A 15830-nucleotide genomic window follows, 5' to 3' on the forward strand; every position below is an offset into this window, starting at 1 on the left:
GGGGGTTTTCTCAAGTGGTCTGTAAAATTTTTGCAAGGTTTGTGGTTCATCTCAAAGATTCGTAATTTCGAAATGGAAGTCTTAATAGTTAGGGAAATTTTTCACATACCCCGAAGGGCTCCTCTTTCTCCAGGGTTGGGTCAAAGTCTTGTGTCCAGAAGCCCCCTGGTCGGCAGTCCTCTTGGCTTCCCCTATCACCCAGTGTCCAGCCTGCATGGGCCCTTCAGTCCCAGGGGCCATGGTGAGGCTGGGTCCCTGGGCCTGGCACCATCTAGACACCCCTTGGTGGTCCAGTGATGTGCAAGCTACATCTCTAACCCCCTGACCTCTGCCTTCTCTACCTCCCTGCCCACTCCCTCATTCAGAGACACTGAGCGTCACCTCTCAGGAGTTTCCATCTTAACGCAAGATGGAAGAGAGTTTCACTTCAGGCCACTGTTGCCCACTGTATCTTAGTCCATTTGGGCTGCTCTAAAGAAACTACCACAAACTGTATACTTTTCAAACAACAGGAATTTATTTTAAACAGTTCTGGAGTCTGGGAAGTCCATATCAAGGCAGATTGAGTTTCTGGTGAGAGTCAGCTCTCTGGTTCATTGTTAGCATCTTTTGGCCAACAATGTCTCCTGTGTTCTCCCACAGTGGAAGGGGTGAGGCAGCCCTCTGGGGCCTCTTTTATAAAGACACTAATTCAATCCATGAGGCTCCACCCTGGTAACCTAATCATCTCCCCATACTCCCACTTCCTACCATCCCTTTGGGTTTAGGATTTCAACATATGAATCTTTAGGGGACACTAACTTTCAGGTCATAGCATTTGGACTTACACCATTGCCTCACCCCCGCCCCTCTAATTCTTGGGCCTTCGGACTCAGACTGAGTCACACCACTGACATTCTTCTTTCTCTAGCTTGCAGATAGCAAACCATGGGACTTCTCGGTCTCCATAACCACATGAGCCAATTCTTAATAATAAATCTCCTCTTACATATACATATACCCGTATATATCCTATTGGTTCTATTTCTCTGGCTATCCCTGGCTAATACACACTGCAAGCACCTGTGCAATACCAAGGGCCTGGCCATCTGCTTGAAATGTAAAATAGAAAACACACCCCCCCACACAGAGAGAGGGAGAGAGAGAGAGAGAGAGAGACCCTGTCCAGAGCCACCCACCCAGTGCCTGTCCCTAGACCAAGGCCCAGTCCCCTTCACCTGTCTCCATCATAAGCGTCACCAGCCTGTCTGACAAACTGCCCAGCAAAGTTATTGACATTGGCCTGGCCGCCTGGGGATGCAAGGCCCTGAACATTGTAGAGAATGAGATGCCAGGCCTGATGCACATGTGGGAGCTGTACTCGGCCTCCAAGCCACTAGAGGGCAACCACAGTGCCAGCTGCCTGCACATGACCATGGAGATGGCCATCCACATTGGGTCCCTCATCACCCTGGGTGCCCCAGCAGCAACATCTTCCTCACCCTGGACCATGTGTTGGCTGCCATTGCCAAGGCTGGCATTCCAGTTTACACCTGGAAGGGCAAAAGAACGCAGAGTACCCATGGTGCATCGAGCAGTCACTGTAATTCAGGGATGGGCTCTCAACATTATTCTGGAGGATGGGGGTGACCTTGCCAACCTCTTCCACACCAAGTACTCACAGCTCTTGCTGGGCATCTGAGGCACCTCCAAGGAGACCATGACGGGTCCACAACCCACACAGGATGATGGTCAATGGGATCCTGAAGGTGCCTGCCATCAATGTCAATGACTCCCTCACCAAGAGTGAGTTCAACAAGCTCTATGGCTGCTGGGAGTCCCTCATAGATGGCATCAAGTGGGCCACAGTGGTGATGATTGCCGGCAAGGTAGCGATGGTAGCAGGCTATGGCAATGTGGGCAAGGGCTGTGCCCAGGCCCTGTGGGGTTTCGGGGCCCACGTCATCATCACCAAGATCGACCCCATCAATGCACTGCAGGCTGCCATGGAGGGCTATGAGGTGACCACCATGGATGAAGCCTGTCAGGAGGGCAACATCTTTATCACCACCACAGCCTGTGTCAACATCATCCTTGGCCGGCACTTTGAACAGATGAAGGATGATGCCATTGTATGTAACACTGGACACTTTGAGGTGGAGATCAATGTCAAGTGGCTCAGTGAGAACCCTTGGAGAAGGTGGCCATCAAGCCCCAGGTGGCCGGGTACTGGATGAAGAATGGGCGCCACACCATCCTGCTGGCTGAGGGTCGGCTGGTCAGCCTGGGTTGTGCCATGGGCCACCCTGGCTTTGTGATGAGTGACTCATCAACCAGGTGACTGCACAGAATGAGCTGTGAATCCACCCAGAGAAGTACCCCATTGAGGTTCATGTCCTACCCAAGAAGCTGGATGAGGCAGTGGCTGAAGCCCACCTGGGCAAGCTGATCATGAAATTGACCAAGCTGACTGAGAAACAGGCCCAGTACCTGGGGCATCTCCCCTGATTGCCCCTTCAAGGCTGATCACTACCGCTACTGAGAGCCAGGCCTGCATTTCACCTTCCAGCTGCTGTTCTTGCCCAGGCCCTGCCTCTCCTTCTTAAGAGCGAATGGCACCAACTTTGTGATTGGTTTGTCAGCATCCCCCATGGACTCCCCAGGGCCGTTCACTCAGTTTTTGGCTTCTGCTGCACCCCTCATACTATTCCAAGTGAGTCAGGGGAACTGAGAGTCCCCTCCTCAAGCCTGGTCATGGTGGAAGTATGAGGGAGACAGCCACAGGGAACTGTGAGCTCAATGGTCTTGGAACTGCTCACTAAGTCAGTCCTTCCTTAACCTGGATGTCAGCAGTGGAGTCGCAAAGCCCACGTACTTTACCATCTAGGCCTTCACCTGGCCTGTGGACTTATACCCTGTGCTTGGTTTATGGTTCAGTCATTCCTCAGCCCGTGACAGATGAGAAGGAACTGTATTGAAGGGCAAGGAGGAACTGTTTCAATTTTCCTGAGAGCTTGGCTTAATGCTGGACCTTCTCTTAAACCTCGTAACAATGAGATTGGTACTTTCAGTCCCTGTTTCACAGGGATTAGAATACACTCTTAAGGGACAACTGAGAAAGAACAGAGAAGTGACAGCCAGAGGTTGAGAGGGGCCAGAAAAGCATAAAAGCAGGCACAGATCAGCCACCACTTTGTAACAAGAGGGTTCCTATCACAACCTTGGGTCAAAAAGAGAATAATTTGGCTTATAATGTTTATAATGTTAAAAGAAAGCAGGAAGGTAGGTAAATAAAAATCTCAATGCCATTAAAAAAAGAAGGAAAGAAAAAAGAAACAGAGAGGGAGAACACAAAACGGAATGAATGTTTCAATAGATATCTGACCAGGTATGCAAATTACCCAGCCCAGCACAGGCAGAAGCACTAGGCAGTGCTTGAGACATGGAGTTCCCTTCTGCCCCTCTGTCTCCCTCTACATGCTGGGCCTACTCAGGGAATCCTGGTGAGAGATGGAGTTCCCTTCTGCCCCTGTCTCTCTCTACATGCTGAGCCTACTCAGGGAATTCTGGTGTTTACAGAAGGGGTCAGAGGAACTGCATGAAGACCACAGCTTTGTGTAGACACACAAGCTTCAACACAGGCATGTAGATGTGTGGTTGTATATGTGTGCATGCGAGGAGTTTTGCAGTCATGCCTGGTGGGAGTCTGGGGGAGGCTCCTGGCTTCAAAGAGCCCAAGCCATTAGCCCAGGCTTGGAGACTTGAGCTGAGTGATTGGAGGGAGGGGCTGAGCAGCAAGCTCAGGAATAGCCCAGGCCGGCCAGGAGGACAGTTTACCTAACCGTCAGTGGTGAGGGAGCCTCGCCCCAGCCCAGAGCTGGGTCCACTGGCCAGCCAGGTGGAGGGGTTCCTTCAGGCTCTAGTGATGACCTGGCAGGAAGCTGGGGACATGCTCTAGGCTGTTAGCCTCTGTGAGAGGCAGGTGGATACTTCCCCCATATCCCCACTCCTGGTTGCAGATTCTGCACTTGCGGACAGGAACCGAGTGCCCAGTACACTTCTGCAGACAGCTGCTCTGCATTGACTCCTGCTTCCTCCACTTAAAAGTTGTGGGATGTTAAGCAAGTTGCTATAAATTCTCAGACCTGTACTTTCCTAATCTATCAAATGTGAAGAAAGCAAGCCAAGGTCACAAAATATTAGTGAGTCTACAACAATTCACCCGCGGTGATCAGCAGCACATACCCAAGGAGGATAAAAGAAAGTTGATAAAACTCCCCGGTGTTCTGATGTGACGTCCCCACCTCCTAGGACCAAGGGTCTAGCACAGAGTAGAAGCTTAGGATGTATCAAGGCCCCATTGAGCTCTGGGAGTTCTGGCTCTGCCCACTTTAATGATAAATGATCAGAGTGCTGCACTAAGGCAGCTTCACCATTAAGCAGCCATCTGGGAGGGCCTGGTGGTTCAGCTCCCAACTGCGGAAGGGGGCAACCTGGGGAAGTGCACAGGGCTCTGGACTAGAGCCAGAAGACTCAGCTGCTAAAGCCCAGCCCAGCCCTCCTACACTTTCCTACACTTCAACCCACCTGATGCCTCCTCTCTTGGAGGCTCGAGCCCCTGGTGGTGGGTGTGGGGTGGGGGATCTAAGGGCTCACCTTGTCACTAGGCAGTCCCTGTCCCAATCACCTCCATGCCTTTTTGCTGGGGCTTGTGGGTTGACAGTTGAAGTTTCAGGACCCCAGGAAAAGTGCCTTAAATAACACATTCCTGCAAACGGATAGCCATTTATTTTCCCATTGATTGGAGATGGTTGCGGTAGCACATCCTATGTGGGTCTGGTTCCTGCCGTTATTCTCTCCCTCACCATGGTGTTCCCCAGAGGACTCCCTAACAAAAGAAACCTCCTACGTGTACATTTTCCTCTCCAGTCTGTTTCTAAGCCCCTGTGAGGAGTTCAGCTAATACAGGTGTGCAGACTGGGTGTGCACATCTGCCTCCAAAAGTCCCACCAGGGTCTTGCCATGAAGGGAGCCTTCCCTGGTAGGTTAGGAAAACCAGTAGGAGAGCTAAAGCTCCAGGGTCCTTGCCCTCAGTGATTGGTGCCCTAGCGGGGACTGGGCACTGTCCACAAATCTATCCCCAACTCCTTCTTGGATGCACAGCTACTAAATTGTAGCCTCCCCTGCAGCTCAGCGGGCTGTGTCTGAGCTCATGGCAGTGGCAGGTGCACATGCCTGTCACCCAGCCTAGCCCTGCTCCTTCTGTCTGGCTGATAAGAAGCTGATCTCAAAAGAATGCTCTTGCCTGGCAGAGCTTCCCCTGCATATTGAGGTCCCTGAATGACCAACGGAGGCCTGCAGTGCCCCTGGGGGCCTGGACCCTCTCTGTGCCATCCCAGGGGTGAGCAGTGCCCTGGCTTCTTGTGAGCTTCCATGTGGGGCTACTCGTTACCTCACCTGCTCTGGCTCATTCCAGCTCTACAGGGGTGCTTAACGTGACATCCATTGGACTCTCAGAAATGTGTGTTCTTATAGTTCTGGTCTAAAATAAGGAATAAAAATTGCCCACCGTGTTCCCTTTTGTACACTTTGGTTTTGGGCAGCTCTGATGTGAGACTTGTTTTCTGAAATTATGCTGCCCCTCCCCCGAGGAGGGGGCAATGGAACAGTGGCAGCCAAGGAGTAGAAGTAGTTAGTTGGCACCTCTCAGGCATCAAAAGAGTGAGTAAATACTAACACTTCAAACAGATCCTCTAGGAGAGCACGCTGAAATTCACCAGAGACATGATGGGAATCAGACAGCAGAGGAGAGGGAAGCCTGCCGAGCTGGGACCCCCATGGAGCGGAAAGGGGCTCCCTAACACAGGGAAGAGGTGAGCAAGTGAGAGAACCCTGAAATTTCACAACTCCACCATGGACCTTCACAATCCTAGTCACAGGGAGCCCTCTCATTGCCCCCGGGCCTCCAGATGAACACAGGGAGCCTGCTGGAGACTGTGCAGAGGCACTGCTCAAGCCTACATGGATCCCACAGGCTTTTCATCCCTGATCTGCCTGGTGCAGCTGCTGCTGCCTGCCATGGAGGGGAACTGGGCACTTTCGTGTGCCCCAAAGACAGATACTGCAGCTGTGGTAAGGAGGAGTGGGTAGACAAGGCTTCCCTCTGCTGCTCCTCTCTGCCAAACGGGACTTGCCTGCTTTGGTGACAGGCTGCCAGTGCCACCGCCCACCCCTGACTGAGCATGACAGCCACAGCTCACTGTTCCCCTGAGAACCCAACCCCCAGAGGCTGCCCATTAGCCCGTTCCACCACAGGCTTGCCTCTGCTGCCCCAGGCCAGGAAGGGAGCAGGAAGGTCAGGCACCTTCCTGAGCTCCTAACAGCAAAATCCAGCTTTGGGAGAGAAGTGCAAGTGGACCATGAGCCCAACAACTATCATTGCTCATTGCCCCAGCTGAAGATTCCTGCCCTCCTGGGTGAACGGTGCACAGCACAGCCACCCTGCTATGCCTGAACATTGCAGCTGTGGCCTGGAGCCCTTCGGAAAGCCCAGCCCCCACAGTCCTGTGATCTGTTCTCAGGCTCCAGGGGATCAGCCCACCCCTCCCTATCACAGCCAGCACCTGAACTCTGGGCTGACTAGATCCTGGTCCAGCCACATCAGGACTCCTACATGCCATCTAGTGGGTCACTGAGAGGTGTGGGAGTTGGGGAATTACCTAGCCCAGTCCAACATCGCTGGCACCTGACTACCCTCTGGACCTGAGTTTGGGCCCACCCAAGCAGCCAACACTAGCCATGACTCCCACCCACATGGCTGACAGGCAGAGCCATTCTCCCTCTCTCCATGGGGTGGCGGCATTACCACATTGGAGAACAGGCGAGCCATACAACTGCCTGCATTGGGCTGAGTGAAGAATTTCCACCCTGAAGCCACTCCTGCGGAGAGGCACAGGACAGGCATTTTCCACGTCTCTCAGCCACACTGTGGCCTGCAGATAGACCACAGTGTGCATCTGAACTGAGACACCAGCCCCAGAACAGGGGTGTGATAGGGAAGCAGATTGCATTCCTGCCTATCTAGACGTGGAGCCAGTGCAGCCCCCTCATCCCACCACAGAGACCTCTGTGCATGTCATCAGGAGCTCCCCCAGCCACCCCTATCATGGCTGGTGCCTACGCTTATCATTTGGGGTATTTGTGGGAAAGCCAGGGTTCCAGCTCTGCCCAGCTGCAACCTCTCTTCCACCCTCCCAACCTACTCTTAGCAGGAAGCTCAGGGAACCTGGCATTCTGCTGTCCAGTCCATCAGCTGAAACAATAGAGAGCACCTCAGTGAGCAAAGGTCAGATATACACCCATGCGCTTATGCCACAGCCAGTAGTTAGTGAGAATCTCTCAGGCATCAAAATAGTGAGTAAATACTAACACTTCAAATAGATCCTTTAAGAGAGCATGCTGAAATTCACCAGAGACATGACAGGAATCACAGACAGCAGAGGAGAGTAAAGCCTGCACAGCTGGGACCCCCATGGAGCGAAAAGAGGTTCCCTAACACAGAAGTGCCCCCTACTGGCCTGCAGGTTGAACTGCACAGCCCAATAAAAAACAGAAGTGCACAGGGCTGCAGGAGAAAGGCCATAACCCCTACAGTGACACCCTCAAGGCGGGGGGAGGGAGAGATAACAGAGAAAATATCCCACATAAATGAAAATAAATTTGAACATAAGAAGTGTCAGCTCCTCCAGATGAGAAGGAACCAGTGTAAAAATTCTAGCACCATGAAAGATCTGAATGTTGTGACAACATCAAATAATCACACTAGCTCTCCAGCAATGAGCCCCAACGAAAATGAAAACCCCAAAATTACAGATAAAGAATTAAATGTATGGATTGCAGGGAAGGTAAATGAGAGCCAAGAGAAAGTTGAAAACTAACACAAAGAAACCATGAAAGCAAACCAGGAAATGAAGGAAGAGATAAATACCTTTAAAACAACAACAGAACTTCCGGAAATAAAAAATACACTTAAAGAATTTCAAAATACAGTTAAAAGCTTTAATGATCCAAGCAGAAGAAAAAATTTTCAGATCTTGAAGACTGGTATTTTGTTAACATAGTCAGACAAAAATATAGAAAAATGAATTTTAAAAAAGAACAAATAAAGATGGGATTTTCACCAAACCTATAACTTATAGACATTCCTGAGAGAAAATAAGAAAAAGTAAGCAAAGCTGGAAAACATATCTGGGGGAATAATTCAGGAAAATTTCCTTAATCTTTCTAGAGAGGTAGACTTCAAAATATAAGAAACTCAGAATACACCTATAATTTACAGAATGGGAGAACATATTTGCAAATTATGCTTCCAACAAAGGACTAATATCCAGAATATATAAGGAAGTCAAACAACTAAACAGAAAAAACCAAAGAACTTCATTTAAAACTGAGCAAAGGATATGAACACTCATTTCTCAAAAGAAGAAATATAAGCAGCAAACACATGAAAAAATTCTCAACATCACCAATTATTAGAAAAAGGCAAATTAACACCACACTGAAATATCATCTTATACCAGTCAGAATGGCTATTTTTAAAAAGTTAAAAAACAACAGATGTTGGTGTGGATGTAGAGAAAATGAAACATTCATACACTGATGGTGGGAATGTAAATTAATTAAATATCTATGGAAATCAGCTTGGAGATTTTTCAAAGAACTAAAAATAGAACTACCATGTTACTCAGTAATCCAACTACTGGGTATCTATCCAAAGGAAAAGAAATCATTATATAAAAAAAGACATCTGTACTCGTACATTTAACTCAGCACTATTCACAATAGCAAAGTCATGGAACCAATCTAAGTATCCATCATTGGTTGGCCAGATAAATAAAATGTGGTATATATACACTATGGAATATTATGCAGCCATAAAAAAGGAAATTATGTTCTTTGCAGCAACATGGTGGAGGTGGAGGCCATTATCCGAAGCGAACTAACTCAGAAACAAAAAATCAAATACTGCATGTTCTCGCTTATAAGTGGGAACTAAACAATATGTATACATCGACATAAGGATGGAAATAAGGTGGGAAATAAGAGGGTGGGAGGGGGATGAGGGCTGAAAGACTGCCTATTGGAAACAATTTTCAGTATCTGGGTGATGGCTACGCTAGAAGCCCAATCTCCACCAGTACACAATATATCCTTGAAACAAACATGCACATGTGCCCCCTGAATCTAAAATTTAAAAAGGCAGCCCACCTGCAACTCAGTCCACCTGCATGACCAAGGGTTGTGCCCCCTTTTCTCCCTTCACTAGGGTGAGGAGCTTCTGACTGATGCCAAACCAGGGAGATCAACTCAGCTGGAGTGGAGGAGGCAGGGCTGGAGTGGCCCACAGAAGGGTGGCTGGCAAAGTTCCCTCTGCCTGCTCCTACTGTCACTGTTCAACACAGAAAGCCTGGGAGGGTCCCTGTGGGTGGCCAGGGTGGAGGGGTTCTCCCCTCTGATGTCCTCTAAGCTCGCCTTCTTAATCTATGACTTCCTCCCTTGAGGGATGAGGAAGGATGACAGGCCCTAACTTGAGTTCACATTGGCTAAACTCCAAAGGCTCTCAATCCCCATTAACAAACGTATGTTGATTTCACCAGGATCACATACAACTCTTCATGAAATTGCACATGCATTTCTCCTTATGGGGTCTCAGAGCCACAGAGATGGAAAGCAGCATCTTCATGTTTACACATGGGTTAACACAGGAGCACAGGCCAGCTGCAGAGAAGTGGGCTTGAACCTCCCAGGGCAGAAACATAGTTGTCATTAATTAGAGACAACCCAATCTGAGGAAGAGATAAAATCTCTCTACACTTTTAGGTTATTTTAATTCCCTTTCTTTTTCCTATCTATCTATATATCTTTTTATTTATTTATTTATTTATTTATTTATTTATTTTGAGATAGGTTCTCACTCTGTTGCCCAGTCTGGCGTGCAGAGGCTAGCTGCAACCTCCACCTACTGGGCTCAATCAATCCTCCCACCTCAGCCTCCTGAGTAGCTGGGACCAGAGGCAGGCCATCATGCCTGGCTAATTTTCATATTTTGGGTAGAGACGGGGTTTTGCTATGTTGTCCAAGTTGGTCTTGAACTCCTGGACTCAAGCAATCTGCCTGCCTTGGCCTCCCAAAGGCCTCCCATAAGCCACCATGCCTGACTTCCCTTTCTGCCTAATGAAAGCTTCCCCACACTTTTCCTGGTGTCATAAGTATAATGAACATTTTGTCCCTGAGTCTTGAGAGACACACAGTTCCAGGCACCTTGTAAAGTTGCGTTGGCTGCTCTGGCACATTTGTATGTGGCTGTAGGCATTAGGCAGCTGGGCCAGGCAGTCTAGAGCCAGAGGGTGCACTGTCTGGCTGTCCATCCATTTCCACACCTGCACAGACATGTGACCCACCTCTCTGGACCCTGCCTATGGGGCCGCACACAGGCCATGCACCTGCTGGCCAGGCACCAGGCACCCTTGTCATAAATATCTCCACCTGTCCAGCAATGAGGTGGGAACACTCAATTCTTTGTGAAAATCTCTGTATTTACAATACCAGAAGTGTGTGTATTTTGTGAAACAAAAACTCTCTAAAAAACAAAGCAAGACAAAAAATTGATGAAGCCAGGCCTCCCATTGCAGGAAGAATGTTGAGAAGTGAAGTGTGGAGGGGTGGCATGTTCTCTTTAGCACCGACGGTTGCTCAGGGAATGAGCCTCAAAATGGAGAAAAACCAAATGACTGAGTCCCATCCACCCCCAGGGCTCCAGTGCTCTCCTCCATTTCCTCAACATTGACCTGGCTTATTTCTCTGGACGCCTTGTGCAGGGTGTTGTGTGCCTGGAAAAGCCTCTCATAACCAGCTTGGGAGATAGATGTGCAGACACAGAGGGGAGAGGCTGGGGAAGGGTGGGAGAGGCCTGTTTCCCAACATCGCAGCTGGCAGGACCCAGATGCGGAGTCCAGGCTGCGGCAGGACAGGCGGGTGCAAGACGGAGAAGGGGGACAAGAAAGAGTAACTCCTCGGGATGACGGCATTGAAGGTCAAAGTCATGCAACCTAGAGAAAGCCCCCAAAGCCCTACACATATAGGCAAGCCATTGTGTTGAAGCCTAAAAAAAAAAACGAAACATGGAGCGGGGACATTGCCATCCAAATTAGTCAATACTGTTTAAAACCTAAACCTGTTATATTTTTAACTTGTACTTACCTTTCAAAAATTCTACGGAAAAGCATAAATATTGCATTCTAGTAGATGGGGGAGGTGGAGAGCAGTTGATTTACTCTCAAGATAGATTAGGTATGACTGGACAACCTCAGCCACAGCCCCCCAGGTGGTCCCCTCCTCATGCGCTCAGGGGCCCCATGTGAGGTGCCCTTGGCCTGTGTGGGTGGCACCTCGGGCTGTCCTGTAGCCACTGTCTGCACACACTGGATGGTAGGATCCTGCCTGTTGACACTCATCTCTGTTGGGGCTGTGCTTCCTTCTTTGGGGACAAATGACTAAGAGGGGAAGTTTATCTTCTGTAATGAAATGAGGAAAATTTGCTGAAGTTTGCTTGGGGGGACAGTGTGGGGTATCTACAAAGAGAATTCACATTTTCCGAAAGACACTCATTGCCTTCTGGGATACATTCAGAATTTGAGTAGCCAAAAAAATGGAAAGCAGGGACAAGGGTGTGAGGAGTATAGGAAATAAAATACACAAGTATTTTTCATTGCAAAAAAAGCTAGGGAGGGTGATACAGCATTGAATTCATATTTCAAAGACTTTGGGGGCTTTTTTTTAGAGAGGAATTTGGCCTAAGACCTCATGGTCCCACCCTTTGGTGACAGATGAAGTTGGGGCTGTTAGGAGTGGAATGAATCCATGTCTGGCATCCCCATGGCACCAGGGTGCTGTGTTCTGGCAGGTGCAATATAAATCCAGCTCATTCAGAGGACAAGCTCCCTGGTGACAAACTCTTTGGTTGATCAGCAAGAATTCAACTCCTTTGACCATAAACAAAGGCTCAATGTATATGTCCAGTTCAGCAACAAAGGCCTGTTCATCTTGGGTGTTTGGTGCCTTAGAAGTTGGGCTCTAGGGGAGGCAGTGACAAAGGGGGTTCTGCAGTGTGCCTGAGAAGAGCAGGGAGCAGTGGCAACATCCTGGAGGGAGGCCTCGGGCACCTAGTGGGGAGGAGGTGGCACCTGGGGGAGCAGGTGATGGGGAGGCACTCTCAGCTGGGTTGAAGGCAGCTCTTTGCATTGCAGAATCTGTGCTTGGGAAAAGTACTCCCGGCTGTGTCTCAGGCACATCCTTGGGCTGCAGGGAGCCTGTGGTAGGGAAAGGCACTCCTGGCTGTGTGGAAGGCAGATCCTTGGGCAGCAGGGACCCTGTGTGCATTGGGACTGTGCAAGGGCTAAGCTGAGGTACCTTCTCCATAGGGAAGAGAAGAGAGAGAAGGTCACTGTGATGGCATTGGAATTGGGCTCAGAAGGCTGCGGTTGCCTGGCTCAAGGGGTGGGGCCAGGACCCATCGAGACCCACAGTGTGGGCCTTGCTGTGCTCCTCCTCTCTCCCCTGGGTGCTGCCTCCAGCCTAGACTCCTCCTTCCAGACCTAGCTCAAGTGTCGAATGTCTCCCCTGCCTCTCCAGGCAGCCCTGGGTCTCTGACTCTGGACTCCCTCACTTGGGGTTGAACTTGTCTTCTTCTCCCTGGTAGCCAGGAGGAGCCCCCAGTTACCTCTGTAACCCAGCATGGCCTGGAAGGCTCTAGTGAGCATATGGAAGGGATGAGCACTCACCACAGCCCTCAAGGCTGGCTCCAGGGACCCTTGGGCGGGTGACGAGCTGAGAAGGCAGCAGCTCCACGGTTCCCTTGGTTTGGGAAGAGGATGATCCAGACCCGTAGGAACAGCTAATTCTGTCTTGCAAAAGCAGTTGCTTTGCTTTCATCCTGGGCACACACCGGTGTAGCCAATCCACCACCCACACAGCTGCAAGCCACACAGAGATTGTCTTTGTGTTCGTCTGCGATGCCTTCCTCTCTGCTGGCTTCTTATGCTCATGATCGGGGCAACCCTGTCTGGAGACTTGATAGGGCCTTTCAAAAAGGCCCTCAGGGTCACTCTAAGTAAGGTCAAAGAGACTGGGGTTCATTCCTGCCTCTAACCACAGGCAAGTCAATCAGCCTCTTGGGAATGGCTTTTCCATCTCTCAAATGGGTCCAGCAATACTAAACACGGATTGGTCACCCCAAGTCCATTCTTCCTGTCTTCCTTACTAACGAAGCCTGCTTTTGTTAAGAGAGGAAACGTACTCAGCTGTAAAATGACCTTTTCCTGGTCTCCCTTGCTGAGCAGCATAGCCATGTGAATGCACTCTGGCAATGGAGTATAAATAGGAATTGTTGGGCATTGCTTTAAAGAAGGCTGCTTTCCCTTTTTCCTTCTTCTTTCTGCCTGGAGTATGAGTGTGATGGCTGGAGCTCCAGAAGCCATCTTGTAAGCATGAAAGCAAGTTGAAAGCCTGGCCTTTTCAAAGAGAATTGTTAGGTTTCCCCAAGGCTGTTCTCTTGGGGGCTTAGCAGGCAGCGAATTAGATAACAATCTTTCTCAGAGCCCCTCAGCTTTCCATTTCTTAATTTGCCTAAGCTGTCCTCTGTTTCTGGAATGCTCTTCCTAACCTTGTCTGCCCAGTGAACTGCTGCTCACCTTTTCAGACTCAGCTCCAGAGTGGCCTCCTCCAGGAAGCCCCTTATCCTTGCTCCCAGCTAAAGTACCACCCTTCTTGGTCTTTCTGGTCATCTCCTGGCTGAAGGCTGAGCCTGTTGTGGGAAATGCCATGTCCTTGTAGATGTGCCTGTCCCTGCTCTGCAAGCATGAGGACTGTAACTGCATCCCCTTCAGCACCTGTGGCTGGAGGGCTGCAGCAGGCTCCCAGAATGCCAGTGGGCATATGCCACTTTGCCTCGACCTCCCCATCTGTGATGTGGTGCTGATGATGCCCACAGACCACAGCAGAGGCAGCAGCCCATCAATGCTTGTGGTTTCCCTGGCATGGGGCCTGTTCAGCTCCTTCTGTACTCAAGGCCACCCTTCCCAGGCTGCCTGGAATCCCAGGGGTCTCCTGCCAGGCCAGTCTCAGCCTGATGGTCCCAAGGAAACCCTCTATTCCTCACAGGTGTTCCCCAGAGCATGCAGACTTTGAGCTTGCTTGAACCTGTCATTCATGCAGAAAGCCTCCCCTTGGGCATGTGAGTGGCAAATGCCTCAAATGCTGGATTCCCTTACGGAGACGGTCTCTCTCTTACTGAGAGGGACCCTTCTCCCCTCTAGGCCCCGTCCTGGGATCTGCCCTCTCCTGCCCCTGCCCTGCTAGTCCCCATCCAGGATGATGCTGACTTTCCCCTTGTGCCCCCTCAGACCCTGTCCTGAGCCACCTGTGTCTACAGCTGCCTGTCCACCCTCCTCCATGCCCGATTGGGCTCCTGCCACCTTTTCAGGGATTCAGGCTTCCTTCTTAGTACAACCCAAGTGTGTCAGCCTGCTCTCCCTGGCTCCACCCATTTAGTCCTCCCAGGACCATCTTCCCTCCCAGCTCACACCCTCCAGAGAAGCTCTACACTGCTGGCAGAATCCAGTCCCTCCACCCAGCCTGCATGTCAGACCGTCCCTGCCAGGCTCCTGGGGTCTCCACACCCTGCCTTCAGGCAATCAGAGCCCAGCTACAAGAAGAACTGGCCATGCCCTGGCACCTTCCCTCGCTCCTCTGCCTTGAGGGCTCTGTTCCTCTGCCTTAAGGGCTCTGCTCCTCACCTCTCCATGTTGCACATCCAAGCCCAGCCATCATGTGCCTCAGCCTCAGCTCTGATGCTGCCTCTGACAAGCTGACTTCCCTGAAGGGGAGCACCCTGGTCCCAAAGCCCCAGAGCACTAGAGCTGAGCCTCTTTCTCTTTCTCCAGACAGCCTCTCTCTCTCCTTGCAGCACAGAGTTGGGGACTCCTTCCCATCATGAAACCCTCAACTTCCCTGCCCCAGGTCACACACCAAGTTCAAGGCTGAGCACAGAGCAAAAGCAACCAGAGAGTCCATGGGCTTGGCCCAGACCTCAGCCTGGAGGCACAGGGACAATTTCTCTCCACTTCTCCTTTGAGCCCAAGAAGTCTCAGCACCATATTCCATCTGCCACTGCCCCCTGACCACAGGCCAACTGGACCCAGAACACAGGACACTTCATCAGGATGTCTGGGCCACAGTCCCGGCCTCACAGAGGTGGCTCGTCAGGGGGGCTCAAAGCCCCACCTCACTCTTCCTGGCACCATCCAGACTATAAGGCCCAGACAAGATCTCACCTGCTGTTCAGTGCTCTCTTCTGTCCACCCAGGCCTCAGCTTCAACCCTCTTGCCTCTGAGCAATCCCTGTGTGCAGTGAGGCCATTGTGTTCAAACCTTCTTCTGGCATGGTTAGGAGGCATAGTGGGAACCAGAAAGGATAATGCCACTCCCAGAAGGAGATGGGCCCTCCTCCTGGCACTGCCAACCCAGCCTGGGGGATCTGTGCTGACATTGTGAGGGGCTGCCTGTGCTAGTTTTTGTGGGAGGGGAGGTGCCAGCTATGGGGTTCCAGGGTGCCGGGGGCCTGCTGACTGCCGACCACTCATTTCTCCCTGCCGTATATCAATTTTGACACCAGTGCTGAAGTCCTCCCAGGGACATTCCAACTTCAGACCCTGTACTGTCTTCCTTCCTTCTCCTAATGTTTGTCTTTCTTTATTTCCAGAGCTCCTCTTTCTTTTTCTAAGCTAGGCGCTTTA

General features: G+C 50.6%; 2 pseudogenes across 2 annotated transcripts in view, besides 1 other annotated feature; one reads left to right on the top strand and one right to left on the bottom strand.

Annotated features, from left to right (window-relative positions):
• ANTXRLP1 (ANTXR like pseudogene 1) overlaps window positions 1-15830 on the bottom strand; it is a 50584-nt pseudogene that overhangs the window by 2875 nt on the left and 31879 nt on the right. The gene's annotated exons all lie outside the window — the stretch shown is intronic.
• Window positions 1159-2529, top strand: AHCYP1 (adenosylhomocysteinase pseudogene 1; annotated as a pseudogene).
• Window positions 6482-7136: an enhancer, noted in NCBI's record as "H3K4me1 hESC enhancer chr10:47599617-47600271 (GRCh37/hg19 assembly coordinates)". NCBI's record gives its function as "activates a minimal SCP1, AML or CMV promoter by ChIP-STARR-seq in primed H9 embryonic stem cells {active_cell/tissue: H9 hESC(primed)}" and the evidence as "EXISTENCE:reporter gene assay evidence [ECO:0000049][PMID:30033119]".

This window comes from Homo sapiens, chromosome 10 (assembly GCF_000001405.40).
Source record: "Homo sapiens chromosome 10, GRCh38.p14 Primary Assembly".
NCBI lineage: Eukaryota > Metazoa > Chordata > Mammalia > Primates > Hominidae > Homo > Homo sapiens.